This window comes from Homo sapiens, chromosome 20 (genome assembly GCF_000001405.40).
Source record: "Homo sapiens chromosome 20, GRCh38.p14 Primary Assembly".
NCBI classification, from domain to species: Eukaryota; Metazoa; Chordata; class Mammalia; order Primates; family Hominidae; genus Homo; species Homo sapiens.
In genome coordinates this window covers 32,005,044-32,032,881 of record NC_000020.11, presented here as the reverse complement: position 1 = coordinate 32,032,881, position 27,838 = coordinate 32,005,044, and the positions used below count along the sequence as shown (strand labels likewise).

Genomic DNA, 27,838 nt, shown 5'->3' with positions numbered 1-27,838 from the left:
CATTTATACAAACACACACACAAAGCACTGTGTAGTTTAGGTCCAGGGACATATATCAGCACATAGGGTTAGGCGCTCATAGTAAAGAGGGAAAAGGAGTGTGGGGAACATGTGGATCAGGAGAGGGTAAAATAAAACATCAGAAGGGCCCTACATGGACCAGTGATGATGGGATGATCATTTACCACAAACCAAGTATGAATTATGGAACTCTTTGGACCTGGAGTCCTAATAACATTTTTTTGAAAATTGCTAACAGTGCCTATTTTATGGTGTGTACAATGTGTCTGGCCATGGAAGCCTTTGCAAGGTTTTACAAACACATTTTGGATCTCCTATGTGAGTCTCTGGCCTCCTCTCAGGCCTCATCCCTTTTAGCTTTCCAGCCTTTACTCAGGCTGTGCTGAATGCTGTCCTTATCCTGACTTCTCTACCTCTCCAACCTTTCCTTCCCATTTCTTTGACTACCCCAGACTCCCAGATAGCTGCCTGTGGAGTCTTGGCTATTTCTTGTTTGTGACTTGAGCACAGAGCTAGGCTGTAACAAGGCTGCAAGGGAACAAGTACTGTTTCTTCTTCCCAAACAGTGAACTCCCCTGAGGATCTTCTGAATAGCTCACCACCACTTCAGTTGGGGTAGGATGCACCCAGACATCTTTTGCTTATTACAAGGCAAGAAAGGTAAACTGAGTCATAAAATGTTTGATGTGGAAAGGAACAACATTTATTGAGCTCTTATCGGGTGCTAGACCCAGTTCTAAGGTCTTAACCCTCAGTAATCCCTGTGGCCACCCTGTTAGGTGGATGGGGGCTGAGCTCACTGGACAGATGGGGTAACGGGAGGCACACAGAGGTTACGACACTAACCAGATAGAGGCTCCAGATCCTGGAGCTGAAAAAACCCTTGTTTGGGGTCTTAAGACCAGAATGGGACCCAGATCATCCCCCTGAGTCAACCCTGGGTGGAGGAAACCGTCTACTCCACACTGACTGTACAAGTCAGGCATCAGGGGATGGGAGACCCTGACATTTAGAGCCTTAAAAAGACCTTCTACACTGTTTAGTATGGTCAGTTTGAGGTCATATAAGGAGAATCAGGAGATTCCCTCAAGCCCCGTCCTCTCTTCTTGAACCATAGTTTCTCAATCTGTAAAATAGGACCGAGTTCTGGAAATTCTTTTCTCAGTCGGCCAGCAGGTGGAGCCCACTCTTCATGCCTTCCTCAGCCTCCAGAAAGCTGCGGCGTCCCGGGGAGGAGGGTGTGTTCTGGGGCTGATCCCTCTGGACTTCTGGGACAAAGCAGGATCGCTGCTCAGCCCCAGCCCGGCAGAGCGGCCCAGGAGCCCCGGGTGACTGCCCCGGACTTCAGGGCCCGGCTTCGCTTTCCCCCTGCAGGACACTCCAGGTACTGCATGGCCCCGGGCCCCAAGGGCAGGGAGCGAGACCCTGGAGTGAAGACCCCCCGGCCCCGCCAGGTGTGATGGGGGGGCCCTGGGGATAGGGTCCCCGAAGCAAAGCTGAGACTCAGAGGTGGGCTGCTGAGCCACGCCGTCCGCAGGGGCGGTGGCTACAGGTAGTTGTCTTCTGCGGCGTCGCTCCCGCCCCTGGAGCCCCGGGGCTCATCCTCGTCGTCGTCGTCGTCATCGGGGGCCAGCGCCTCGATGTCGTGCGTGATGTCAGCCAGCAGCCGGTGGAAGGCCTGTGCCTCGGGCCGCTGCGCCGCGCCATCGTAGCTGCGCACTGCGGAGGCCGACGTGGAGCTCATGCTGCGCTTGATGCGGCCGAAGCTGTCAGTGAGGATGCCGCCCTCGCGGATGCCCACGCCCTCCAGGAAGCCCTCGAAGTAGCCGATGTCCTGGTCCGGGATGAAGGGCCGCATCCCTGCGAGCCGAGGGGCATGGTGAGTCCCCAGGACACGTTCCCTTTCCCTTCCACAGGGGAAGCGTCCTCTCTGCAGATCTGGGTGCAAATCCCTGCTGTCACTCACTGGCTGTGTGGCCTTGCCCAAGGTCCTTAACTGTCTGAGCCAGCGAATAACGACACAGCGCTCAGCACACAGTGAATGCTCACTACATACTAGATTACTGTACTTTTATTATTATTATTATAGCCTCTGCCTCCCGGGTTCAAGAGATTCTCATGCCTCAGCCTCCCAAGTAGCTGGGATTACAGGCGCACACCACCACGCCCTGCTAATTTTTGTATTTTTAGTAGAGACAGGGTTTCATGTTGGCCAGGCTGGTCTTGAACTCCTGACCTCAGGTGATCCGCCAGCTTCAGCCTCCCAAAGTGCTGGGATTACAGGTGTGAGCCACCTCGCCAGGCCTATTTTTGTTATTATTAGTACCATCATTATATTCCCATTGATTAATTATGTTGAACCTCATTTTCCTCACCTGTAAAACAGATAATTGCACCTGTTCTCTGGGTAGGGATGTGAGGATTAAATAACAAGGTACTCAGCACATACTGAGCACTCTGTAAACAGTTTGTTTTATTTCCATTCCTACTTACTAGCTATGTGACCTCAGTCCTTTACTTTGTAACTCTGAGTCTCAGTTTCCTCACCTGCAAAATGGGGACCATTAATAGTATCTACTTCTCAGAACTGGGGGCATTTAATGAGATGATGCTTGGCACAGGGTAACTGCCAAGCACATGTCAGCTTATTCGTATTATTCCTCCTGTTATTATTAGCCCTCCTTACTAGCTGTGTGACCTTGGACATGTTCCTTAGCCTTTCTGAGCCTCAGCTTCCGTGTGGGGTAAGATGGGAAGAATCAGTCCCTCTCGCAGCTTTGCTGTGAGGATGAAATGGCCACACCACTGCTTAGTTCTTCTTATCAACAGTGTCTCCCAGCTCTGACAAGTCCTTTCCCTACTCTGCACTTTGGGCTCCTCATCTGCCCTGTGAATCTCATGATCTGGGTTTCATCAGAGGCTGAAAGATAAGGAGAAAACATTTGCAGCCTGGTGCCTGACTGGGATGGCATGGACCAAGCAGGGGCCCTAGCTGACCTCTGGGGGTACAGCGGGGGCTCACCAAGGAGGAGGAACTTGCGCCGGTCTCCGTAGAGCTTCAGCAGGCCTGTGCAATAGTCCTGGATGGGCAGCCCCAGCCGGTACTCCCGCAGCAGCATCGCAAACTGCTGGATCTCGAGGGGCCCCAGCTTACTCCGCAACTATGTGGGGGACACCATTCGAGATCAATCCCAGGAAGCAGCGCCACCCAACCCCTGCCTGAAAGGCCCAGAGCCTTCCCTAAGGGCATGTTTGGTCCAGCTCTCCTCTGAAAACCTTCCCATGGGCTATTCAGAGGACATCTAGATCCCTTAGGCTGCATTTAAGAATAGGATGTGGACTCAAGCTGCCTGAGTGCAAATCTTGACCCCTTCACTGGATCAGCTCTGTGATCTTGGGTAGGTGACAACCTCCATGATGCTTGCTTTTCTCATCTGCAAAGTGAGGATAATGATGGTATTTTCTTCTTGGGGTTGTTGAAAAGATTAAAAGAAATAATGCATGAAAGGTGCTTAGAATGGTGCCTGGTATACAGCAGGCACTCAATTAATGCCAGCTGACATTAGTTAAGGCCTTTCACAAGCTGGCCTCAGTTTACTCTCCTAACCTCATTTCCTGCTCTGACCTCTGATGTCTTCTGCTTAGGTTATGTCCAGGGCAATGTGCCATTCCCAAAATGTTTACTCCAGCCTCCAGGCTTTTGCTTGTGCCATTCCCACCACCGGCCCCAGCTCACCGTGACCATGTAATCCTGTAACTGCTCCAAGCCCAGACTGCTGTGGTCGCTGCCGCTGCAGTGGGAGCCATGGAAAGAAGGTGTGGACGTGCCGCTGTAACATGCTTCAAAGGTGTCCTGGGAGCCATTACTGCAGGCACGGGAAGAAGGGCCTTCACTCGCCTCCCTCCAGCTCCTGGCCCTCAGGCAGGCTGAAGGTAGGAGGCCTCATCCTAGACTGCATGCTGGCCTCCAAGGCCTCGCATACCCTGGCCCCTGGCACCTCTCAAGTCTCATCTGTCACTGTGCTTGCCTTTGCCTTTGCTCTTTGTGCTTCGCGCCCCCCACCCCCCTTCTCCTTCTTCCTCTACTATCTCCTCACCTCTGGGTGTTTGCACCTGCTGGTCCCTCTGCCTGGATTGCCTCCTTTCCCCTCCCTTTTGCACAGCTAACTCTTACTCATCCCGTGATCTTAAATGTCATCTCCTCAGGAGAGTGTTCCCTAATTCCCCTAGGTTGGGTTAGAACCTCTGTCGAACATGCTCCCTCAGTCCATGGCCTACCTGTGACATGCATGGCCTTTCCAGGTACCCCCAAGCATCCTCTCTGACCACTCTCTCCCTCACACCATTTGCCACAGCCACAGTGGCCACCTGCTGCCCCTCAAACCCACTAAGCTCTATCCTGTTCAAAATTTTTTTTTTTTTTTTTTGAGACAGATTCTTGCTCTGTCACTGAGGCTGGAGTGCAGTGGTGCGGTCTTGGCTCACTGCAGCCTCCGCCTCCCGGGTTCAAGCAATTTTCATGCCTCAGCCTCCTGAGTAGCTGGGACTACAAGCATGTGCCACCCAGCCAATTTTTGTATTTTTAGTAGAGACAGGGTTTCACCATGTTTGTCCAGGCTGCTCTCAAATGCCTCACCTCAAGCAATCTGCCCACCTCAGCCTCCCAAAATGCTGGGATTACAGGCGTGAGCCACCACGCCTGGTTAGTTCAGGATTCTTACATTTGCTGTTCCCTCTACCTGGAACACTCTTCCCCCTTTCATCCTCCAAGCCTCAGTTCATGTGCCATCACCTCTGAGAGGCCCTCCTGACTCTCCAGCTGAGTTGCGGTCCCCCTCTGCCTCTCTTATAGCACCCTGAGCCTCCCTTTAGTACTTATTACCATTAATGATTGTTACTGTTAAATTGCGATTTCATTGCCTCCTATCCTAGACTGTAAACTTGACAAGAGCAGGGACTTTGGTTTTCTTCATTTGTTGAACACCTACTATGTGCCAGGCCCAGGTTTTGCCCTCTGTCTTGTGTCCATCTGTATCCCCAGCACACAGCAGAGTGCCTGGCACATAGGAGGTACTCAAGAAATATTGCTTAATAAAAACTCAACCTTAGGCTCCTGCCTCCTTGTCTCTAAATTGTTCCAGAACCATCCTCCATTATTACCTACAAAGAAGCCGTGTAGCTTTGTGGTTAAAGGACTGGATTCTGGAGCCAGCCTTCTTCTGTTCAAATCCCATACTTACAACTTACTAGGTGCTTGACCTTGGGAAAACTAAACTTAATTTCTCTATTTCTCAATTTTTCCATCTGTATAATGGGATAATAATAATTAGTGTCATCATGAGAATTAGAGGAGTTAATATTTGTAGAACACTTAGAATTATGGGCTATAAGCAATAAACAGTAGCTGCTGTAATGTTACTATGTTGATGAAAAAATAAAGTGCTTTATAGAACAGCACTTAGTACATAGCAAGTTCAATGTTCAAACGCTATTATCACTATTTTATCTCTTCAGTAGATATCTGGTTGTTTAAAGACTAGCCTAAGGGCATACAGTATGAGGAAGGCAAATCTATTGCCACTAAAAAGGAAAGAAACAATAAGACATATATCACTGGCAGAGACTGCTACATGCCAAACTGAAGCCCTTAGTAATATAACTAGGTGATCAACCAGTAACCCAGGACTTTCTTGGTTTTAGCACTGAAAATCCCATATCCGGGGGAACCCCTCATTCCTGAGCAAACTGGGATGGCTGGTCACCCTAAACAGAACCCTGGGTAATGTTCCCAACTGAATTGTTTAAAATTTTATTTATTTATTTGTTTATTTATTTATTTCAATAGAGACAGGGTCTCCCTATGTTGCCCAGACTGGTCTCAAACTTGTGGGCTCAAGTGATCCTCCTGCGTTGCCCTCCCAAAGTGTTGGGATTACAGGCGTGAGCCACCATGACTGGCCTGAATTTTTCTTTTTTTTTTTTTTTGAGATAGAGTCTCGCTCTGTCGCCCAGGCTGGAGTGCAGTGGCGCAATCTCAGCTCACTGTAAGCTCCGCCTCCTGGGTTCACGCCATTCTCCTGCCTCAGCCTCCCAAGTAGCTGGGACCACAGGTGTGCGCCACCATACCTGGCTAATTTTTGTATTTTTGGTGGAGATGGGGTTTCGCCATGTTGCCCAGGATGGTTTGGAACTCCCAGGCTCAAGCGATCCACCTGCCTCAGCCTCCCAAACTGTTGGGATTACAGGTGCGAGCCACCGCATCTAGCCTGAAATATATTTTTTTAATCCTAAATTTTCCAGCTTTGCTTGCAGCTAGTGATGGCTATGTGACCAAGTTCTGGCCTATGAGATATAAGCAGAAGTCATCAGGTGGGAATCTGGCAAAACTCTTTAAAGAGGCCCCTTAGCATGCTACTGTGATGGCTGGAGCTACAACCACCATCTCGGTCCATGAGGTGACCTTGAGGATGGCTGCAAGTCCTGAAGAGGGTAGGGAAGGAAAAGAGAAGCCTGAGCTCCTAACAACCATGAAATGTTGAATTGCTGCTCTATTTTATGTCAAATATAAGAAAAAAAAGTTCTATCTTGCTTAAGATACTCTTTTTGGGGATTTTCTATTACATGGAACCAAAATTAAGCCAAGATAATTTTTTTGGCATGTAGCTATGATTTTGGTTTCTGCAGACCACTGTGCCTGGATGACTGGGAGAGAACCACAGGACTGTGTGGACCCACATCTGAGTTCTGGTGTCTCCTGGGTCTCTCAAGGGTCTGGATCCTGTGGGTTTCCAGAGTCAGGGAGCTCAGTTTACCTCCCCCTCTTAGTGCCCAGTGTCTCAGCACACATCAAGGTTGGGTCACCTTCTCCTACCCTCTCTAGTCACCCTGTTTGTGCAGGGGTAGGGGAGCAGGGTGGAGTCCCTGACAGGGGCTGTACTCACAAGGAGCTGCAGCAGCTGAAGTCGGCATCATAGGCATACGTCCCATCTGTGTGGCAGCTCTCACCTGGGACCAGCAGACAGAGGGACTGTCAGAGGCAGCAAAGCAGGGATCAGCATCCCCTGCTCCCTGAGGCCCCACCCTCAGTCTCAGCCTGAAGTCTAGTCCTGCCTCTGACACCAACACACAACAGACCCTGGGGAACTCCCCTCCCCTCTCCTGATCCTCAACTTCCCCGATGTGGGGACAATACCACCCCCCACCTACCTCATAGGAGCCTTGGGAACAGCAGATGAGGAAACATGTGAGGGAATATTTTGTAAACTGTGTGTTTCAGGCAAGACAAAAAAAAAGAAAAAAAAATTTGTGGCTCACGCCTGTAATCCCAGCACTTTGGGAGGCCAAGGCAGGAGGACTGCTTGAGCCCAGGCTTCAAGACCAGCCTGGACAACATAGAGCGACCTTATTTCTACAATAACAAAAAAATTAGCTGGGTGCGGTGGTGCATGCCTGTGGTCCCGGCTACTTGAGAGGCTGACATAGAAGGACTGCTTGGGCCTGGGAGGTCGAGGCTGCAGAGAGCCGTGATTGTACCACTACAGTCCAGGCTGGGTGACAGAGCCAGACCCTGAAAAAAAATAAATAAAAGAAAAGAAAAAGAAAAGAAAAGAAAAAGAAAGAAAGAAAGAGGAAAGGAAAGGAAAGGAAAAAAGAAAGAAAGAAAAAGAGGAAAGGAAAGGAAAAAAGAAAGGAAAGAAAGAAAGAAAGGGGAAGGGGAAGGAAAAGAAAAGAAAGAAAGAAAGGGGAAGGGGAAGGAAAAGAAAAGAAAAGAAAGAGAGAAAGAAAGAAAGAAAGAAAGAAAGAAGAAGAAAGAGAGGAAGAAACTTGTGAAGGGGAAGGATCTGAAAACCTTCAGAGCAAAGAAACACCAAGTACGGAGAGCTTGCGCTCTTCCTAGTCCTGTTGTCTCATTTAGCTGGTTATTAGCCCTACCATTTCTGATCTCTGATCAGTGTTGCTTCCTTACCCTCCAGGTGGGGCCAGTTCCTCATTATACATTCTCCCAGCACAGTCTGTGGTTATTTATTTATTTTGAGGCAGAGTTTCGCTGTTGTCGCCCAGGCTGGAGTGCAGTGGTGTGATCTCTGCTCACTACAACCTCCACCTCCCAGGTTCGAGTGATTCTCCTGCCTCAGCCTCCCGAGTAGTTGGGATTACAGGTGCCTGCTACCATGCCCAGCTAATTTTTGTATTTTTAGTAGAGATGGGTTTTCACCATGTTGGCCAGGCTAGTCTCGAACTCCTGACCTCAGGTGATCCACCTGCCTTGGCCTCCCAAAGTGCTGGGATTACAGGTGTGAGCCACTGTGCCCAACCTGTGGTTGTGTATTTATTTGTGTACTTATTTAATCACTGTCAGCCTGCCTCCACTAAGTAAACTTCATGAAGACAGGCCACCTCTGGTTTTGCTCACCAGAATAACCTACTGATTAGCACTGGATCTGACCCACTAGGTGCTCAATAAATATTTGCTAAATGAATGAATTTGTTGAAATATTTGTTGAATTATCTCATTTATTTGCCTATCATCCTTGTGAGAGTTGAACTAACCCAGCCTCCCAACAAGCACAGCTCCCACAGATGCGAGGGTCTTCTGAAGAAAAGAACGAGCACTCTGCTGCTGGTACCATGCTGTGGGAGACAATGGCTGGGGAATTCACCCACTGGCCTGAAGGCAGCATGGGGAATAAGGTTGTTGCTGATAGAAGCTTCAGAATCAGACAGACCTGGATTTGAATCCTGACTCTGCCACTTACCAGCTGTGTGACCTTGAGTAATTTATTGACTAATCTGAGCCTTAATGTCCTCATCTGTAAAACTGGAATCGTGGCCAGGCGCGGTGGCTCATACCTGTAATCCCAGCACTTTGGGAGGCTGAGGCAGGCAGATCACGAGGTCAAGAGATCAAGACCACACTGGCCAACTAACATGGTGAAACCCCGTCTCTACTAAAAATACAAAAATTAGCTGGGCGTAGTGGCGCATGCCTGTAGTCCCAGCTACTCAGGAGGCTGAAGCAGGAGAATCACTTGAACCGGGAGGCAGAGGTTGCAATGAGCCGAGATCGTGCCACTGCACTCCAGCTCAGGCGACAGAGTGAGACTCCGTCTCAAACAAACAAACAACAACAACAACAAAAACCAACCAAACGAAAAAATGGGAATCCTAAGGCCTCAGAGAGTTCTTTCATCCATTCAGAAAAATACTTCATGAGTATCTGATGTACCCAGTCTCGTGCTAGGCACAGGGGATACAGTGACAAAGAGGACAGGCAAGGTTGCTATGAGGACATGGCACATTGGTACGGTGCTTGGCACACAACTGGTGCTCAACAAATGTCTCTATTAGTCTCATTCTCCTTCTAGTCCTTGAGTGCATCCAAGCACCCATCTGGAAATCTTGGTTTTGTGTTAGGGTCCTAGTGGGACCAATGGCTCAGTAAGCAGACAATACATGTGCTTAGGTTGCTGCAATATAGGGACACAAAAACAAAAGGGAGAGAGAAGAGTTCAGCTCTAGGGGGCTTGTTCTGAATTTGACAATCCAAACATCTTTGAAGAAGCTAAGTTTGAGATCATCATGAAAACTGATGGCTGGGTGCAGTGGCTCACGCCTGTAATCCCGGCACTTTGGGAGGCTGAGGCGGGTGGATCATGAGGTCAGGAGTTCAAGACCAGCCTGGTCAAGACGGTGAAACCCCGTCTCTAATAAAAATACAAAAAAAAAATTAGCTGGGTGTGGTGGCACATGCCTGTAATCCCAGCTACTCGGGAGACTGAGGCAGAGAATTGCTTGAACCCAGGAGGTGGAGGTTGCAGTGAGCCGAGATGGCATCACTGTACTCCAGCCTGGGGAACAGAGGGAGACTCTGTCTCAAAAAAGAAAAAAGAAAAGAAAAAGAAAAAGAAAATTGACATTTCACCTACAATTGTGGGGTACACTGTAATTATGGCAGAGATCAGGAGCCCTAAATACCTTCATCAGCCCAAGTCCTGGGACATCTTCCCTCCCCTGGCCTTTTTGGGATGTTTCACAGGAGGGGAGGCCAGGAGTTCTGGTACTCACTGCGGCTGCAGAGCCATGGCCGTTCAGGTGTGGATGTGTAGTGGTAGCCAGCCCGGTCCACACACTCAATACTCTGGTCCCCGTAGATGATCTGGAAGACCTGACAGATGAGTGCGCAGGACTCCTCTGCAGCGTCCTGGCCCAGGGAGGAGGAGAGAGAGCTCAGGTCCTCACCAATGACCAAGATGTTACCCTGCTTCCTAAAACAGTGTGTGAAGATGCGCACAAAGATACACACCTATAGAGCCCTTTAAATTGGCTTTCAAGAATTTTTCCATCAAAATTCGATGGCTACTCTCTGGATCTTAGAACCCCTTTATAGAATTCAGTGACAACTCTAACTCTTGTGCCATGAAAAATGTACCCCAGATTTGTGGAGGATTCATCAGCCTTCCTGATGCCCTTCTAAGATAAGTCCTAATTTAGTTTAATGTATAGATATGGAAACGGAGGCCCAGTGAGGGGAAGTGATTAGTCAGGATTAGAATCCAGTTCTCCTAACACCTAGTAGGAGAAGGGATGATTAAATGTATCAAAATTTTAGGCTCAATATAGTTACTAATACTGGAAGCCATATTTAGATATGAGCTTCCTAGCATTCAGTGTGAAAATGGAAACAGGATAAATAAAATTCAATCTCTGATAGAAGGAAGGAGTTTAAGTTCTTGGGTAAAACTTTTTTGAGACTACAAATGTGAATAGGTATTTAGTTCTTGAATTTACCTCTTTATGCCTTAAGCAAGACACACAGAAAACCAGTAATTGATGAAGACACTGTCTTCATGAACCTTTTCTCTATGTTGTGTCTGTAAAAAGGCCCAAGACAATGGATGGTTGGATACAAAAAATAAAAATAAAAAAGCCCAAAGAATAAATTAAAACGTAACCCAGGATAGGCATTTGGGGATAGTAGGTGTGTCCTAATAATTAAACCAGGTGATCCTTACCATAGACCTACAAAATGGACAGACAAAGATGCTGAGACTTAGAGTGGTTAAGTGCCTTGCCTAGGCTCACACAGCAGGTTCATGGCATTAGTACCAGCACCCAGGTTGTTTTTTACTCTAACTCCTATATCCTTCTTAGGACCAGGATGACTCAGATAAGAAGCCAGATGCTCAGACAACCCTGGAAAGCAACTTTTTTTTTTTGAGATAGAGTCACACTCCGGTCGCCCAGTGGCACAATCATGGCTCACTGCAGCCTCAACCTCCTGAGCTCAGGTGATCCTCCCACCTCAGCCTCCTGAGTAGCTGCATGACAGGCACACACCACCACGCCCAGATAATTTTTTGTATTTTTAGTAGAGACGGTGTTTTGCCATGTTGCCCAGGCTGGTCTGGAACTCCTGGGCTCTAGTGATCTCCCTGCCTCAGCCTCCCAAAGTGTTGGGATTACACTTATTTACTCACTCCACAAATTCCAACTTAGTCCTATTATGTGGCCGACACTGGGCCAGGTTCAGTACCGCAAAGCCCTCACAGTCCAGTGGGATGACTGTTAGCTTTGTCTGGAATCCTATTTCCAGCCACAGAGGAAGTGGGCATGGTGGCTGGAGTACAAATGGCCTTGTAAGCAATTGTAAGGATGTTAGCTTTTACTTGGAGTGAAATGGGAAGCCACTGGAAGATGTGGAGTAGTGACATGATGTGGCTTTCATGTTAACGGGACCACTCTGACTGTGTGGGGAAAGAGACTGTCAGCAAGGGCTGAACCAGTCAGAGGATGACCACATGATTCAGGTGAGAGAAAATGGGGCATGGACCTGGGTGGGTACAGGGGGAGGGTGGGGAGAAGTAAATGGATTTTGATGTTTTTTTGTTTTGTTTTGAGACGGAGTCTTGCTCTATTGCTCAGGCTGGAGTGCAGTGGTGCGGTCTACCTCCTGGGTTCAAGGGATTCTCGTGCTTCAGCCTCCCAAGTAGCTGAGATTACAGGCACCCGCCGCTATGCCTGGCTAATTTTTGTATTTTTCGTAGAGACGGGTTTCACCATGTTGGCCAGGCTGGTCTTAACTCCTCAACTCAGGTGATCCACCCGCCTCAGCCTCCCAAAGTGCTGGGATTACAGGCTTGGTTATGTTTTAAAAATAAGAGCCAACAGGATTTATTGACAGAGTGGATATGGGGTGTGTGTGAGAAAGAGAGAGCGTGAGAGCCAGCCAAGGCCCACAGCAAGGTTTTGGCCTGACCAATGTAAGGACACAGCTGCTATTAATTGTGACAGGGAAACCAAGGGAGTGGCAGGTTTTGGGGGAGGAGGTTGGAGCTCAGTTTTGGATGTGTTGGGTTTGAAACAGTCGTTAGATCTTCAGATGCAGATCACCTAGAAATGGGTAGATGAAGGATAGATGGAGGAGAGAAGAAGATCAAGGACAAAGTCTGGGGCACTCCAACTTCTGAAGAAGAGGAGGAACCAGCTTGGTAGGAGAAAAGCCTGGAAAAGGTGGAGAGCTGGAAGCCAAGTGAGGAAGTGTTTCAAGGGGAGAGAGACAGCTGTGGTGTCTGAGTTTACTGGTTATTATCTGCCTCACCATCTAGACAGGAACTATGTCTGTTTCATTCACCACTGTTTTTATACGGAGGGATCTGGTGGTCCAAGATCAGAGGAAAAGCTTAGAATGCTCAGAACTTGAAGGTGTCTGCTCGCCTGTGAGCTCCCTAAGGGTGGACACCAGATGTCTTTTTCACGTCTGTATCCATAGCACCTAGCCCATTGCCTAGCCCAGAGCTGGCACTCAAGAAACATGGTCGGGTGAATAAAAGCAAGGGTGAATGAAGAGGATGGGGGAGGCAGAGGGGAAGACGGAGGGGGAAGGAAGAATGGCAGGAAGGCTTCTCTCTTGGGTGGCCATCTTAGTTACCAAGAGTACTGGCTCTGAACTTACTGGATTTGAATCTTAAAACCACCACGTGCTTCCTGTGTGACCTTGCCTATGTTACTTCACCTATGGATCTCGGTTTCCTTTTCTATAGAATGGGAATACAGTAGTTGTAATATTTGCCTCCAGAGGTTGCTGTGAGAATTAAATGAGTTGATGCAGCCCTGTGTCTGGCATGAGCTGGCCCTAGATTCACGCTGGTGATTAGTGTCCTCGTGAATGTTACTGTGGTGGGGCCAACACTGACAACGTTGGAGAAGGAACGGGCTGGAGGTTAGATCTAGTTTGTTTTGGCCATTTTGAGAGTTCATCCCATTGAGGGAGTCAAGGGGAGATGCCCTGGAGGTGTCCAGGTCCGGAGTTTAGGAGCCATTAGGTGGGGCAGGTGCAGGGAGAAGGCAGGGGCAGATCCTAGGAACCTGGTGGGTGGGGCGGGGGCAAGGTGGGGGCGGGGAAGCAGCGTTCCCGAAGCCGGGCTTTGGGAGCAGGCTGCCCTCGGGCTCACCCTGTTGGCTACAGCCAGGATGACCAGGTTGCAGTAGGCGTCGGGGCTGGGGTCCTGCGGGTCGAGCGGGTTGGGGCCGGGGTGGCGCCGCTCCCAGCTGCCTCCCCCGCCGCTGCCCGCCTGCCTCCGCTCCCAGCTACCGCCCGGCTTTCCCGCGCCGCCGCCGCCGCCGCCGCCTCCGTGCCGCCGCTCCCAGCTGCCGCTGAACGTCTGCCGTCGCTCCCAGCTGCCCGACGCCCGCGCCCCGGCGCGCTGGCGCTCCAAGCTGCCGCCGCCGCCTCCCCCGGCCCGGGCCTCCGCGGCGCCCCCACCCCACCCCATCCGCCAGTCCAGGCTGCAGATGGTGTGGCGCCGCTCCGCGGTGCCCACCCGCCGCTTCTCGGGCGCCCCGCCTGGCGGGCCGGGGTCGCGTCCTGCGCCGCCTGGGCTGGCATCCACGCCGGCCGGCACCGGGTCCACACCCAGACCTAGGAGAGTCCGGGGGACCGTCAGCCGCGGGGATCGGGACTCAGAGACCCCCCCGCCCCGCCGAGGCCGGCTGGCCACCTGACCTCGCGGCTCTGGGGTTCCACCGCCGCCTCGCCCCCGGCTTTAAAGTAGCGCGGCGGTTCCCCGCCCACTCCGCTTCCACACTTTCGGGCCCGCCCCCGGCCTCAGTCTCCACCCCTGGCCTCTCGGTGGTCTGGCCAGGTGGCTTCCACGCTCCCCACGACGCCTGCGCCCCTGGCCTCAGACCTGCCCTCTGAACAGAGGGTGGTGGTCAGGCTGTCCCCTCCCAAGGGAGCCTTAACTGGGGACCCAGTCCCGGGTTTCAGGGACCGCCCCCTTGGATTCTGACTTCCCGCCTCTCCTCAGCCCCGCCCCTGGAATCAGGCCCCGCCCCCAGCCCAAGGGTCCACTCTAGCCTCAGAGCCGGGTGGTAACTGCGGATCCAGCCCTGGCCTAGGTCTTGGGCTTCTCCACCCTCTTAGTGCTCCACCACCTGGCCTCAGTGTAGTGGCTCAGGCCACCCACCTTCATCCTCAACCTCAGGCCCTGTCTGCTTTCCCAGAGCCTCTTCGGCCTGCCCCTAGTCTCAGGGTAGTATGGTCAGACCTTTTCCATCTCCTCTGCCCCCGCCGCAGGTCCCTCTCCTTCTCCATCCGCACACCTCCGGCCCCTGCCCCTGCCCCTGCCCCGCCCCCGCCCCCGCCCCTCCCCCGCCCCCGCCCCCGCCCCTCCCCCGCCCCCGCCCCCTCCCGCCGCACCGGTCTTGAGCACTAGCAGGTGCAGCGCGTCGTCCTGCAGGTAGGAGGCGGCGGCGATCTCGTGCGTAGGGATTCGCAGAATGAGCTCTTCATTGTCGCGCCAGGTGAGCAGCAGGCAGCGGGCAGACAGGCTCAGGATGCTGTCCTGCTCCGCCGTGGTCTTCAGCGGCAGCTCCTTCAGCTGCTGCAGGGAGGGGCAGATCTCGAGTTCCCGAGGTCCGCAGGTAGAAGAGGGAGAAGGGAGCGAGATCCTGCCCTCCTCCCTCCCCAGAGTCTCACCCTGGCGGTGTCTAGCAGCTGCAGGAGCTCGTCCCGACTGGAGGGGTTCAGTGAGGAAGTCACCCAGGTAAGGTGGCCCAGGAACTGGATGGAAATCGGGGTGAGAGAAGGACACAGAGATGTCACCCTGAAACCTTGAAGAACCCTGGCCTTCTCATTGATGCAGTGCGGATAGATTGAGATAGAAATACATGAATTAATATACCTGATAATAACTTTTACTGAGCCCTTAATAGAAGCTAGGCAAAGTTCTGAGCGCTCTCTATATATTCACTCATTCACCCTTGCTTTAAGGATGAGAAAAACCAAGGCAGGGTGTGGCTAACTAAAGAACTTGCCCAGGATTAGATAGCTAGAGAGGATCAAACTGGGATCCACATGCCAGAGCCCACACTCTCAACTGCTGGCTTATATTGCCTTAACACATAGTCATCTAGCTATAAGATTCCATAGGGAAGCAAAAGTTATTATAACAGCTTGAAAGAACTGACCACCTGTAAATTTCCTCTGGCCTGAGTGGCTCTCTCTACCCCAAGCATCATTGTCAAAGGAATTGCAAATCACTTGCCTTCCTTATGGTCTTGTTGCAGAAGTCAAATGGAAAGGGAAGAATGTTGGATCAAATTAGTATACCATTTTGTCAGGAAAAATGATGCACTAAATCAACAAATTTTTCCTTTACTCTTATATCCTAATGTTAGCACTTAAATGTTACTCAATATAATAGTTAACTTTTTTTTGAGATAGTCTCAGTGTCACTCAGGCTGGGGTTCAATGGCAAGATATCAGCTCACTGCAAGCTCTGCCTCCCGGGTTCAAGCGATTCTCCTGCCTCAGCCTCCTGAGTAGCTGGGATTACAGGCACGTGCCACCACGTCCAGCTAATTTTTGTATTTTTAGTAGAGACGGGGTTTCACCATGTTGGCCAGGCTGCCCTCAAACTCCTGACCTCAAGTAATCAGCCTGCCTCAGCCTCCCAAAGTGCTGGGATTACAGGTGTGAGCCACCATGCCTGGCCAACTTTTAAAAAATTATTTTTAGTTCTATTCCTCTAGGTGAATCCACCAATCAAACATTTTCTCTTCTTTTTATTCTTTATCAAATTTCAGCCCTCAATTTTTAAGCAGATTTATTTGTTAGTTTTTCCCTCCATATAGGGTTGCCAGATAAAATATAGGATGCCAGTTAAATTTGAACTTGAAAACAACAATTTTTGGCGGGCGTGGGGGGGCTGGAGTCTCGCACTGTCGCCCGGGCTGGAGTGCAGCAGTGTGAGCTCGGCTCACCGCAGCCTCTGCCTCCCAGGTTCAAGCGATTGTCCTGCCTCAGCCTCCCCAGTAGCTGGGATTACAGGCACCCACCACCACACCCAGCTAATTTTTTGTATTTTTAGTAGAGACGGGTTTCACCATCTCTACTAAAAGATGGCCAGGCTGGTCTTGAACTCCTGATCTCGTGATTCACCCGCCTCGGCCTCCTAAAGTGCTGGGATTACAGGTGTGAGCCACCGTGCCTGGCCGTTGATCAACAATAATTTTTAAGTTGTTTAGTATTTTTAGTCCCTTGCAATATTTGGGACATAATTATGCTAAGAAAGTATTCATTGCTTATCTGAAATTCAGATTTTACTAGGTGGCTTATTGTTTGCCAGTTCAGACAACCCTACCCCCATATCAATCTTTTTAGGCTAAATGAAGATCCATCATTTCCTCTTCATGGTGTTCATGCCAGGTGTGGTGGCTCACACCTGTAATCCCAGCACTTTGGGAGGCCAAGGTGGGCGGATCACCTGAGGTCAGGGGTTTGAGACCAGCCTGACCAACATAGTGAAACCCCAGCTCCATTAAAAATACAAAAAAATTAGCTGCGTGTGGTGGTGCGTGCCGGTAGTCCCAGCTATTAAGGAGGCTGAGGCAGGAGAATTGTTTGAGCCCGGGAGGCGGAGGTTACAGTGAGCCAAGATCGTGCCACTGCACTCCAGCCTGGGAGACAGAATGAGACTCTGTCTCAAAAAAAAAAAAAAAGAAGTACAGCTCCTAAGTGGTGGAAGTCCTTTGTGTTTTGCTGTTAATCTGGACGCTGTCCGAGTAACAGCAAGGTCACTGCAGTAAAATCTCATGGGAAATGTCAAAGTTGTCAATCAGAATGGAGTCACTTGTGTTAAAAGCCCTGACAAATAGGAGGGAGGATTCTCATGCATGAACGCCTGATAACAAGAACTATCAAAAAGACTGTAAAAACTACAACTTTGCACAAAGGCCATCACAACCTTACACACACACACATATTCCTGCAAGGACAGCAACTGCTCATCCAACTTGGAAATGGTGCCATCCTTGTTATTGATCCTTGCAGCCAGGTATAATTATCTCAAAACAATTATGTAATCCTCCTCACTTTTCCTTTAAAAACCTTTGCCTTCCTTTACCTCCTGAATACACAGTTTACTATGGCACGCATATTCCCATTGCAATGCCTATTCCTGAGTAAACATCATTTTCTTTTAGTGAGTCTCCCTTTCTGTTATGTCAGTTGACAAAAGATAGGACTTTTCCACGCACAGAACACTCTCCCATCCACTCTCCACTGGGGGTAGGTTTTGAGCCTCATGTTGAGATGGGAACACTGAGGAGGCTCAGCAGATGGAGGTCACTTGCTGAAGGTGGGGGCAAGGCTGACATGAACCCAGGCCTCTTTCCAATGAGCCACAACTTCCCCTGTGTGAGATACGGCTGATCAGAACTTGGTGTCAAGGAGAAGTGAAGGTCTCCTCACCCCAAGGTTTTCCCACCCCTTCTCATCCTGCACGCACCTTGACCTCTTTCTCCAGGTAGTCACACAGCAGAATCTGGGGGTCGATGAGGTAGTCGGGGGGATAAAGGGGCATCGAGTGCAGGGGCCGGCGGCTCACGCTGCTCCTACAGGCTGCCCGGCGCCCGGCCTTGGGGAACACCAGCCTTCGGATGGGGGATACAAAGCCCTGGGGAGGAGAGGAGGAATGAGAGTGATAACAGTGGCTGCTTTTATTGAACTCTTACTATGCTCACTTTTACTTACATTACCTAATTTAATTCTCACCAAAACTCTGCAGAAGGGGTACCTCTGTAAGTCCCATTTTACAGATGGAGAAAGTAAACCCTAGAGAGGAACTAACTGATAAAGTCACCAGCTAGTAGTGGTGGAACCAGTAGTTCACCTTGGGCATTCTGGATCCAACGACCTTCTTTCTAAACACCCAGGTGACAGTGTAGCTCCTGCCAAACAGGTTTGAGGAATGAGTCTAGGCTGGGGCAAATACAGAAAAATGTTAGGATTCAAGGCCAGGCGTGGTGGCTCATACCTGTAATCCCAGCACTTTGGGAGGCCAAGGCGGGTGGATCACTTGAGGTCAGGAGTTGGAGACTAGCCTGGCCAACATGGTGAAACCCTGACTCTACTAAAATTACAAAAATTTGTCAGGCGTTGTGCCAGGAGCCTGTAATCCCAGCTACTCGGGAGGCTGAGTCAGGAGAATCACTTGAACCCAGGAGGCAGAGGCAGAGGTTGCAGTGAGCCAAGATGGAGCCATTGCACTCCAGCCTGGGCAACAGAACAAGACTCTGTCTCAAAAAAAAAAAAAAAATATATATATATATATGTACACACATATATATAAATCATATACATAAATATATATAATATAGATTAGGATTCAATGTGGTGGAGTGGTGGTGGGTGCATAGCTATTTCTTAGGCTATTCTCTGTGCTTTCCTAAAAGTTATAAATTATTAATAAGTACATTTAAGTAGAATCCAGAGGCACCTGCATAAAAATGGCCTGGATCAAGGTTAAAGGTGTAAATTCTGGGGCTCAGCCCAGACCAGCCATCTGAATCTCAAAAGAAAGTTTGAGTTCCATCTAGAACAGCATTTCTCAACATGAGATTCCTGGACCAGCAGCACCACCTAGGAACTGAGAGAAATGCAGATTATCAGGCCCCATCCCAGACCCACTAAATTAGAAACTCTGGGAGTAGGGCCCAGCAATTAGGGCTTAACAAGCCCACCAGGTGCTTCTGATACATGCTCAAGTGTGAGACTGCATTTAGAGCAGTCGCTCCCAGCCCTGGCTATCCTTTAGTACTACCTGGGGAAGGCCAGGCGTGGTGGTTTACGCCTGTAATCCTAGCACTTTGGGAGGCTGAGGCAGGAGGAGAGCTGGAGCCCAGGAGTTTGAGACCAGCCTTGACAACATGGTGAAACTGTCTCTACAAAAAATATGCCAAAAAAAAAAAATTAGCCGGGTGTGGTGGTATGTACCTGTAATCCCAGCTACTTGGGAGGCCAAGGTGGGAGGATCACCTGAGCCTGGGAGGTCGAGGCTGCTGTGAGCTGCGATTGCAACACCGTACTCCAGCCTGGGTGACAGAGTAAGACCTTGTCGAAGGAACAAAACAAACAACCCCCACCCCCCCACTCCACACACACACGAACTACGGGGGGAGCTTTTAAAACTTCAGATGTTCAGGTTACACTCCCAACCAACTGAATAAGAAATTCTGGGACTGAGACCCAGGCATAAAATTTTTTATTTTTTAATTTTTTTGAGATAGGATGTTGCTCTGTTGCCCAGATTGAAGTGCAGTGGCACAATCATAGCTCACTGCAGCCTTGATCTCTTAGGTTCAAGCGATCCCTCTGCCTCAGCCTTCCAAGTAATTGGGACTACAGGTGTGTGCTACCATGCCCTGCTAATTTTTTAAATTTTTAGTAGAGATGAGGTCTCACTGCGTTGCCTGGGCTGGCTTGAACTCCTGAGCTCAAATGATTCTCCTGCCTTGGCCTCCCAAAGTGCTGGGATTACAGGTGTGAGCCATTGGGGTTAATGAGCTCGGTCCATTAAGATTTTTTTAAGCCTTCTTAGGTAATTTCAAAAGGCAGCTCAGCTGAAAACCACTGAGTGAATGTGTGGTGTGATTACTTAACTGTGTAACAAGGCAAATGTGAGTAAGACAACCTCCCTGCCTGCAAGGAGCTCACGTTCTTTCCAGGTAAACAGAACACAAGTCCACAAATACATCTGTTCATTTACTCATTCATTCAGTAAACATTTACACCTGTATGGCTGGACTCTGCTGGGTGCTGAGGATTCAGTGGAGACCTGGATCCTATCCTTGCCTCCAGGGCTTGTGATAAATGACCTAGACTAGTGAGTTTCCAACTTTATCTGCCCTGGAGTTTTGATTCAGTACAGTTGGGTTGGAGCTTGAGACTGTGCATTTCTACCAAGCTCCCATCTGGTGCTGATACTACTGGTCTGTGCACCACGCTTTGAGTAGCCAGGATCTAAACCGGTGGTTCTCAAAGTGTGGCCCCACAGCCATCAGCATAACCTGTGGGTTATTAGAATTGCAAATTCTTTCTGACTCAGCGATCCTCCCACCTCTGCCTCACAGTAGCTAGGACCACAGGCATGCACCACCACCACACCTAGCTAATATATATTTTTTAAAGAGATGGGGTCTTACTATGTTGCCCAGTCTGGTCTTGAACTCCTAGGCTCATGCAATCCTCCTGCCTCAGCCTCCCAAAGTGTTGCGATTACAGGCGTGAGTCACTGTGCCTGGCCAGAAATGCAATTTCTTGAACCCCATCCCAGGCCTATTGGCCCAGAAACTGGGGGTAAGACCCAGTGATCTGTGTTTTAATGAGCCCTCAGGTGATTCTTATGGGTACTCAGCTTATGTTAGAACCCATATCATGGAGCCAGGATGGGGTATGTAGCAACTTTAAGGAATGAGAAGAAACTATCTGGGAGAAAGCATGCCAAGCAGAGGGCACAGCATGTGCAAAATTCTGGATGCCTCAAAGGCTGGATGAGGGTGAGCCTGGAGAAGCTGTGTGCAGTCAGTCTGCCGTGGCTAGATTATGAGACGAACATATCTTGAATGCCGGCTATGGAGCTGGGACTTTGTCTTGCGTATGTGTGTGTATTAGGGGTGGGGAGGGGTAAGTATTTTTGTTGGTGGCCCTGAATGGCTCAGCTCTGCCCACCTGTCCAGCCCCATCTGCCTCATTCTTGTCCCCTGGGCCCCCACTACACAGTCCTCCTTCAGTCCCTCTGGCTTGCTATGTGACTTCCCACTGTGGGGTTTTGCACATGCTGTTCCTCTGCCTCAAACACTCTTCCCTACCCACTTTCCTTCCACCCGTCAGTTCTCGACTCAAACTGATCAGTTTCCTCCAGCACTGAGTATGGGACCTCCTATGATTTTTAAAAAATTTTTATTTATGTATTTATTTATTTATTTTAGACAGAGTCTCACTCTGTCACCCAGGCTGGAGTGCAGTGGCGCGATCTTGGCTCACTGCAACCTCTGCCTCCTAGGTTCAAGCTTCAGCCTCCTTAGTAGCTGGGATTACAGGCATGTGCCACCATGCCCAGTTAATTTTTGTATTTTTAGTAGAGACAGGGTTTCGCCATGTTGGCCTGGCTGGTCTCGAACCCCTGACCTCAGGTGATCCACCCGCCTCGGCCTCCCAAAGTGCTAGAATTACAGGTGTGAGCCACTGCACCCGGCCCTTCTATGCAATTTTACATTAACTTATTTATTGCTTTAAAAAAAGAAATACCTGGTGCATAATAGGCACTCAATAAATGTCTATTAAAAGAACAAACTAAGAGAAAACATGCACGTATGTCTTGGCTCCCTTCTGAGCCCTCTGTGATTCATGTGGGCACCTTTTAGAACAGCCCGGACATATGTTTCTGGTGGGGGTGGGGTAGAGGGGAGGGTGGAAATGGGGGTAAGATGGAAGTTAAAATCAGAGCGCCTCCCTGAACTCCAAAGACAACCAGGTGAGACACCCAGAGAAGCATACTAGAAAACTTCAGAGTCAGAAGGGGTGAGGGGAATGGCTTCTGGCTGACGCCTTACATACGCCCTTGTAGAAAGGTGGGAGGGGCAGGGGGCAGGTGGGAGACTCAAGCCTGTGTAGGCAACATCCTATCGGAATTGCCCTGGCTGAGTCCTTCTGTTTGGGGCAGTGACGAGCAGGAGAATGGATCTGCTGGGTGTCTGTCTGTCCGTCTGTCTGAGAGGCTGCAGGAGGGAGCTGCGGGGAACACCAGGGAAGCAGGTGTGGAGAATCTCCCAAACTGAGTCCGTCTGGCCAGGTTTCCTGAGAAGGTCCCTGTCTGTCCACGTTAGGGATGCCAGAGGCCACTGAGAGTGGAGAAACAGGGAGTTTAGAGCCTGACTGTCTGGCTGTCCAAGAGTGGGAAGGAAGTTACTTCCAAATGAGAAGAAAGGCTCCACTTATGCCCCTCGCTACCGACCCCCCACCCCGCCCCAGTTTGCCCCCTTCCCCAGCTTTGGGGACATTCCTCTCCCTTCGTCCCTCCCAACCTCCCACCTACCTTCTTCCCTTTCTTGACTTCATATTCCATGGTGAAATGTCCCCTCTACTCCTGCCACCCTCCTGGCCATCCCTTCCACCCCCACATCCAGTTCCTTTGTTCTTTTTCCTGCCTGGTCGGAAACTCCACCAGCCCTGGAGTTCCTGCCCCTCCCATCTGATGGGGAGGGCAGGGGGTGTGGAGGACACAGCCTTGGGACCCTGCAGCTGAAGGGTGGAAGCCCAGGCAGAGCTGACCTGAGGAGGGAGGCTCAAGGCCTCTAGCCAGAAGGCGGGTTATTGGGGGAGCTTGGGAATTGGCCAAGGCTGGGAAAGGGCCCCCCACATTTGAAGTCCTGGTTTGGAAAATTCCAAGTTCCAGCCCTACTTCTGCCACTGACCTTGTTGTGTGACCTTGGCAAGGCAAGTCAGTTCCCCCTGTCACAGCCTGTTTCCCCCTCCTCTCTATAAGTTGGGAGTCAACACTGCCTCCCTCCCTAGGCTGCTGTGGTGAGAAATGAAAAGGTGGATGGAAAGTGCCTTATAGAGAGTATTGTAGCCAAGCAAGTTATGATTTTAAAAAATTAATCATTACTATTAAGGGAGGCAGTATGCGTGGGCTTTGAAGATAGGCTGCTTGAATTCGAATCCTGGCTTTGGCACTTACTAGGGTTATGACCTTTGGGAAGTCCCTTAACCACCAGTGCCTCAGTTTTCCCGTCTTTAAAATGAGCATAATACTAGTTTAACCTCATAGTGACCTTGCGGGGATTAAATGCACCTAGAAGAACTTCTGGCACATATTAAGTACTCAGTAAGGCTGGGCGTGGTGGCTCACACCTGTAATCCCAGCACTTTGAGAGGCTGAGGCAGGCAGATCACCTGAGGTGAGGAGTTCGAGACCAGCCTCGCCAACATGGTGAAACCTTGTCTCTACTAAAAATACAAAAATCAGCCGGGTGCGGTGGCACATGCCTGTAATCCCAGCTACTCTGGAGGCTGAGGCAGGAGAAGCGCTTGAACCTGGGTGGTGGAGGTTGCAGTGAGCTGAGATCCAGCCATTACACTCCAGCCTTGGTGACTGGCTGAGACTCCATCTCAAAAAAAAAAAAAAAAAAAAAAAAAACTGAAAAAAAATAAGTGCTCAGTAAACATTAACTGTTTACCTGCTTAGTGGTTGTCAAATTAAAGAACAAACAGAGGCTCTCTAAAATAAAAGATGTTTCACTTAGGAATTAAGCATTGCAGTGGGAATTACCCATATGCCATAGTAAGCGATGTGCATTTTCAGGGAGGTGGGGGGAAGACAAAGATTTTTAAAGGAAAAAAATAAGGATTACATTATTGTTTCTGAAATAATTATTCTTGATTGCAAAGATCAATAGCAAGGGTGATGCCAGTCTAAAGTTGGACAGGCAGTTGCTGGGCAGATGTCCTTGCGGAAGTATTTTTTGTGCAAGGTTTCAATGGCCTTTGTGCAAGGTTGTGATTTTTGTAGTCTTTTTTGTTATCAGTCTTGTTGTTATCTGTTTTGTTATCAGTCTTATTTGTTATGCAAGCATGAAAACCCTCTATGGCCTTCCCCAGCTCTATTTGTCAAGGTTTTCTTAACATTAGTGACTCCATTTTTATTCTGACCATGTTCATAGGGTCTTGAGCTGTTTTGCTCTCTTGGGAGTATATTAGGGAGGCAAGGTCCCCTTTGTGGCTCTGTGCTGAACACTTTACATATTTTAACTTACTCACAGTGTTGAGTACCATGATAGTACCTATTATACAGATTTTTGAAACTGAGGCTGAAGTTCAGAGCCTGGTTCAAGGAGGTCACACAGTGAGTAAGAGGAGGACCTGGGATTTCTGGCTGGTCTGGATCTGAGCCTAGCGTTCCTTACCTCTAGGACCTATGCATTCTGCATGCCCCACCCAGGACAGATGGAAAGGTTCTGTGTGGCCCATCCACACCTTGCCAAGACACCTGGGTTCTGGAGACCTAAGCTCTGGAACTGATTTGCTGTATATGACCTGGTCCAGGTTGCTCATTGTAACCTCTCTTGGCGTCAGCTTTCTTATCTCCCATCCAAGTACTAACCAGGCCCGACCCTGCTTAGCTTCCGAGATCAGACGAGATCGGTCAGCTTTCTTATCTTTCCAATGGGAATAATAATTTCCCAAAGCCCTGCTCTGCTCATCAGAGCTGTGGCCAGAAAGACACAGGCCATGGATGGAAGAGCAGTTAGAAACTGTAAAGTACCAATGCACTGGATTCTACTGAAAGGCTTTTTCTGAAAGCCTGGTGTTCAAGATCAGTGCCCTGAAGGGAGGGTCAGAGCTCCCCAACGCGCTTCTGGGTGTGAGAGCTACAGGAGACTCCTAGCCACTAGCCCTTCCTCTTCCTTCCCCTCCCTTGGAGGGGAAATGGCCCAGGTTGCTTAGTGCTGGCTCTCACAGCCACTCCCTCCTGCTCCCCTGCATCCTGCCGGGTCACCCCCCAGCTCAGGAAGTGAGATCTCCACTCAGCCTGCCAGGCGAACAGGAAGAGGCCAGGGTGTGCTAGCCAATTCCTGACTCTGCTCTGGATGTGAAAGCTCCAACTTAACCCCTTGAGCCAGCCCAGAATTCCCACCCTTGGAGCAGCAGCCGGGCATGAGACATGTGGTCTCTTGCTCTGGCATCTCCATGACTGGCTTTTGCAAGCCTTTTCCTCTCTCTGGGCCTCAATTTCCCTGTCTATAAAATGGAAGCTTATATTATTCCTGGACTAGCTCCAAACATCACTGAACTGCTGGGAATCTCAAATAGGACAATAAGTGTTTTGCATGCCACTAAAATTAGAAAACTATCTCTGTATTCCCTGCAGTGCTCCCTGCAGAGCCATAACAGATGAAGTGCTTAGTAAATGTCAGCGGAAGTGGTTGGAGATGGTGGATATAGGCTCAAATGTATATGACCTTGAACACATTACCTCATCTCTTAGCGCCTCAGAGCCCTCACGTGTCAAAAGCAGGATAATGGCAGTACCTGCCTTGGAAGGCTGCTGCAGGGATTGAATGGGAACAGAAGTGCACAATGATAACATATTATTAAAATTAGCTTGTGAATCAAAGAAGAGATGAGCAAAACAAAGTCCCTGCTCTCAAAGACTTAACAATTGTGGCAGATAGGATTCATCTCTTTTGAACCACCTCCAGTTGATTGGCAGGGGCTGCCTGGAGGGCTGCGTAGAGGATTATAAAAACCGGATCTACTCCCAGCAGGAAGAAGGGATTGATTATCAATGCCTGCCATGGGCAGGAGTGGGGATATTAGCAGCAGGTGGTCAGTGCACATGCTGACCATGATCTGGTTAGAGACAAAGACACACAAGCCAAGAACTCTGGTATCAGGCCAGCGACTTGTTTGGGAAAGGCAGAATCAGGAGCCATTCCCCAGGCCGGTGGCATTCAAGCCAAACCTTGAAGGGTGAATGGAAGGAAAGTTACTCTGGGCAGAGGGAACAGCTTGAGCAAACACAGTGCCAGAGTTCTGCCTGCAAGGAACAGACAACCCCGCCAAAGGTGGCTTAGACAAGAAGGAACATTTATTCTCTCTTAAAACAAGTCCAATAATGAGGGTTTTCAGGTTATTTGAGCAGCTCAACACTGGCATCAAATTCCTTTATATTTTTTACTTTGCTGGTGTTATTGTGTCGCTCCAATTTATTTGTTGAAGCCCTAACCCCCAGTACCTCAGAATGTAATAGTATATGAAGATAGGGTCTTTAAAGAGGTGATGAAGTTAAAATGAGGCAGTTAGGGTGGGCCTTAATCCAATCTCCCTGGTGTCCTTATATGAAGAGGAAATTTGCACCTGTAATCTCAGCACTTTGGGAGACCAAGGCACGCAGATCACCTGAGGTTGGAGTTCGAGATCAGCCTGGCTAACATGGTGAAACCCCATCTCTACTAAATATACAAAATTAGCTGGGTGTGGTGGCACGCACCTGTAATCCCAGCTACTCAGGAGGCTGAGGCAGGAGAATCACTTGAACCTGGGAGGCAGAGGTTGCAGTGAGCTGGGATCACGCCACTGCACTCCAGACTGAGTGACAGAGTGAGACTCCAACTCCAATAAAAATAAAAAAAGGAAAGAAAAGAGGAAATTTGGACACACCGAGACAGCAGGGTCACTTGTGTACAGGGAAAGGCCATGTGAGAACACAGTGGGAAGACGGCCATCTGCAAGCCATGGAGAGAGGCCTCAGGAGAAACTGTCAGAAGTGTTTGAACCAGAGCAACTCCATCTTGAATAGAAGCTAGGTAGAATGAGGCTGAGACCTACTGGGCTGCATTTCCAGACAGTTAAGGCATTCTAAGTCGCAGGATGAGACAGAGGTCAGCACAAGATACAGGTCATAAAGACCTTGCTGATAAAACAGTTGCAGTAAAGAAGCCGGCTAAATCCCACCAAAACCAAGATGGCCATGAGACTGACCTCTGGTCATCCTCACTGCTACACTCCCACCAGCACCATGACAGTTTACAAATGCCATGGCAACATCAGGAAGTTACCCTATATGGTCTAAAAGGGGGAGGCATGAATAATCCACCCCTTGTTTAGCATATAATCAAGAAATAACCATAAAAATGGGCAACTAGCAGCCTTTGGGCTGCTCTGCATATGGAGTAGCCGTTCTTTTATTCCTCTACTTTCTTAATAAACTTGCTTTCCCTGTACTGTACGGACCCGCCCTGAATTCCTTCTCGCGTGAGATACAAGAACCGTCTCTCGGGGTCTGGATGGGGAGCCCTTTCCTGTAACAAAACCAACTCTGCCAATGCCTTGATCTTGGACTTCCAGCCTCCAGAACTGTCAGGAAATAAATTTCTGTTGTTTAAGCTGCCCGGTCTGTGGTATTTTGTTATGGCAGCCTGAGCAGACTCACGAACCTGGCAAGATGGCTGCAGTGGCCTTGGGAGCGGCACATGATACCATCCCGAGATAAGGCCAAGGGTTTCCCCTTCTTGTGTGTCTTTCTTTCATGGAGAAAAACCTTTCCCGGGAATCTTCAAAAGATTTCCCTTAAGAAGCCAGGGGCCAGATGCATTTGCCAGGACATATTTGGCTGTGTCAAAGACCGAATAACGGACCTAAACAGGAGAGTTTCTCTCTTCTTCAGGTAACAGTCAAGGGTGGGTGTGGTAGCTCCCTGGGTCCTGGACCTTGAAGTCTCCTATTTTGTTCCACCAAGCAGTGGTTCTGCTATCAACTGCAAGATGGCTCTCTCCACCCAGCTGCAGTCCAGCCAGCAGGGTTAACAAAGCAGAGAACATGATCTGTCTCTTTAAAGTGATGTAAGTAGCACAAATTTCTTCTTGGCCAGAACTTGGTTCATAGCTGAGCCTAGCTGCAAAGGAGGCTGGGAAATGTAGTCTTTTATTCTGAGTGGCTATGTGCCTAGCTAAAAACTCTTTATAGAAAAGGAGG

At 49.5% G+C, this 27,838-nt stretch overlaps 1 protein-coding gene and 1 pseudogene across 5 annotated transcripts, besides 6 other annotated features; both read right to left on the bottom strand.

Annotated features, from left to right (window-relative positions):
• Window positions 1-701: 701 nt before the first annotated feature.
• CCM2L (CCM2 like scaffold protein) lies at window positions 702-22,444 on the bottom strand. 5 transcript variants are annotated; one of them, XM_011528568.4, is made up of 11 exons: window positions 22,398-22,444; window positions 18,801-18,950; window positions 17,811-17,978; window positions 14,999-15,082; window positions 14,720-14,903; window positions 13,473-13,939; window positions 10,087-10,222; window positions 6,963-7,026; window positions 3,758-3,887; window positions 3,044-3,182; window positions 702-1,959 (listed from the first exon to the last, which is right to left on the bottom strand). In XM_011528568.4, exons 2-11 carry the CDS (start codon window positions 18,804-18,806, stop codon window positions 1,568-1,570), a joined length of 1,770 nt encoding a protein of 589 aa, XP_011526870.1. In that variant the 5' UTR covers window positions 18,807-18,950; window positions 22,398-22,444; the 3' UTR covers window positions 702-1,567. The 5 variants fall into 5 exon arrangements, with proteins under 5 accessions (XP_011526870.1, XP_011526868.1, NP_001352621.1 ...); XM_011528566.3 differs by lacking the exon at window positions 18,801-18,950; NM_001365692.1 differs by lacking the exon at window positions 18,801-18,950 and having other exon boundaries at window positions 702-1,881.
• Window positions 1,144-1,671: an enhancer, noted in NCBI's record as "H3K27ac-H3K4me1 hESC enhancer chr20:30619014-30619541 (GRCh37/hg19 assembly coordinates)". NCBI's record gives its function as "activates a minimal SCP1, AML or CMV promoter by ChIP-STARR-seq in naive H9 embryonic stem cells {active_cell/tissue: H9 hESC(naive)}" and the evidence as "EXISTENCE:reporter gene assay evidence [ECO:0000049][PMID:30033119]".
• Window positions 1,433-1,482: a silencer, noted in NCBI's record as "silent region_12772". NCBI's record gives its function as "represses an Ori minimal core promoter by ATAC-STARR-seq in GM12878 lymphoblastoid cells {active_cell/tissue: GM12878}" and the evidence as "EXISTENCE:reporter gene assay evidence [ECO:0000049][PMID:35858748]".
• Window positions 8,397-8,898: an enhancer, noted in NCBI's record as "NANOG hESC enhancer chr20:30611787-30612288 (GRCh37/hg19 assembly coordinates)". NCBI's record gives its function as "activates a minimal SCP1, AML or CMV promoter by ChIP-STARR-seq in naive H9 embryonic stem cells {active_cell/tissue: H9 hESC(naive)}" and the evidence as "EXISTENCE:reporter gene assay evidence [ECO:0000049][PMID:30033119]".
• Window positions 13,993-14,122: a silencer, noted in NCBI's record as "silent region_12771". NCBI's record gives its function as "represses an Ori minimal core promoter by ATAC-STARR-seq in GM12878 lymphoblastoid cells {active_cell/tissue: GM12878}" and the evidence as "EXISTENCE:reporter gene assay evidence [ECO:0000049][PMID:35858748]".
• Window positions 20,593-21,184: an enhancer, noted in NCBI's record as "H3K4me1 hESC enhancer chr20:30599501-30600092 (GRCh37/hg19 assembly coordinates)". NCBI's record gives its function as "activates a minimal SCP1, AML or CMV promoter by ChIP-STARR-seq in naive H9 embryonic stem cells {active_cell/tissue: H9 hESC(naive)}" and the evidence as "EXISTENCE:reporter gene assay evidence [ECO:0000049][PMID:30033119]".
• Window positions 22,095-22,622: an enhancer, noted in NCBI's record as "H3K27ac-H3K4me1 hESC enhancer chr20:30598063-30598590 (GRCh37/hg19 assembly coordinates)". NCBI's record gives its function as "activates a minimal SCP1, AML or CMV promoter by ChIP-STARR-seq in naive H9 embryonic stem cells {active_cell/tissue: H9 hESC(naive)}" and the evidence as "EXISTENCE:reporter gene assay evidence [ECO:0000049][PMID:30033119]".
• On the bottom strand, window positions 24,410-24,531 carry RNA5SP481 (RNA, 5S ribosomal pseudogene 481; annotated as a pseudogene).

Coding starts and splice junctions, on each gene's coding strand:
- CCM2L (XM_011528566.3), bottom strand. CDS start 22,427: ATGGAATATGAAGTCAAGAAAGGGAAGAAG. Junction 14,904..14,998: donor AGCTGCTAGACACCGCCAGG/GTGAGACTCTGG, acceptor CCCTCCCTGCAG/CAGCTGAAGGAGCTGCCGCT. Junction 7,027..10,086: donor GCCATGGCTCTGCAGCCGCA/GTGAGTACCAGA, acceptor TGCTGGTCCCAG/GTGAGAGCTGCCACACAGAT.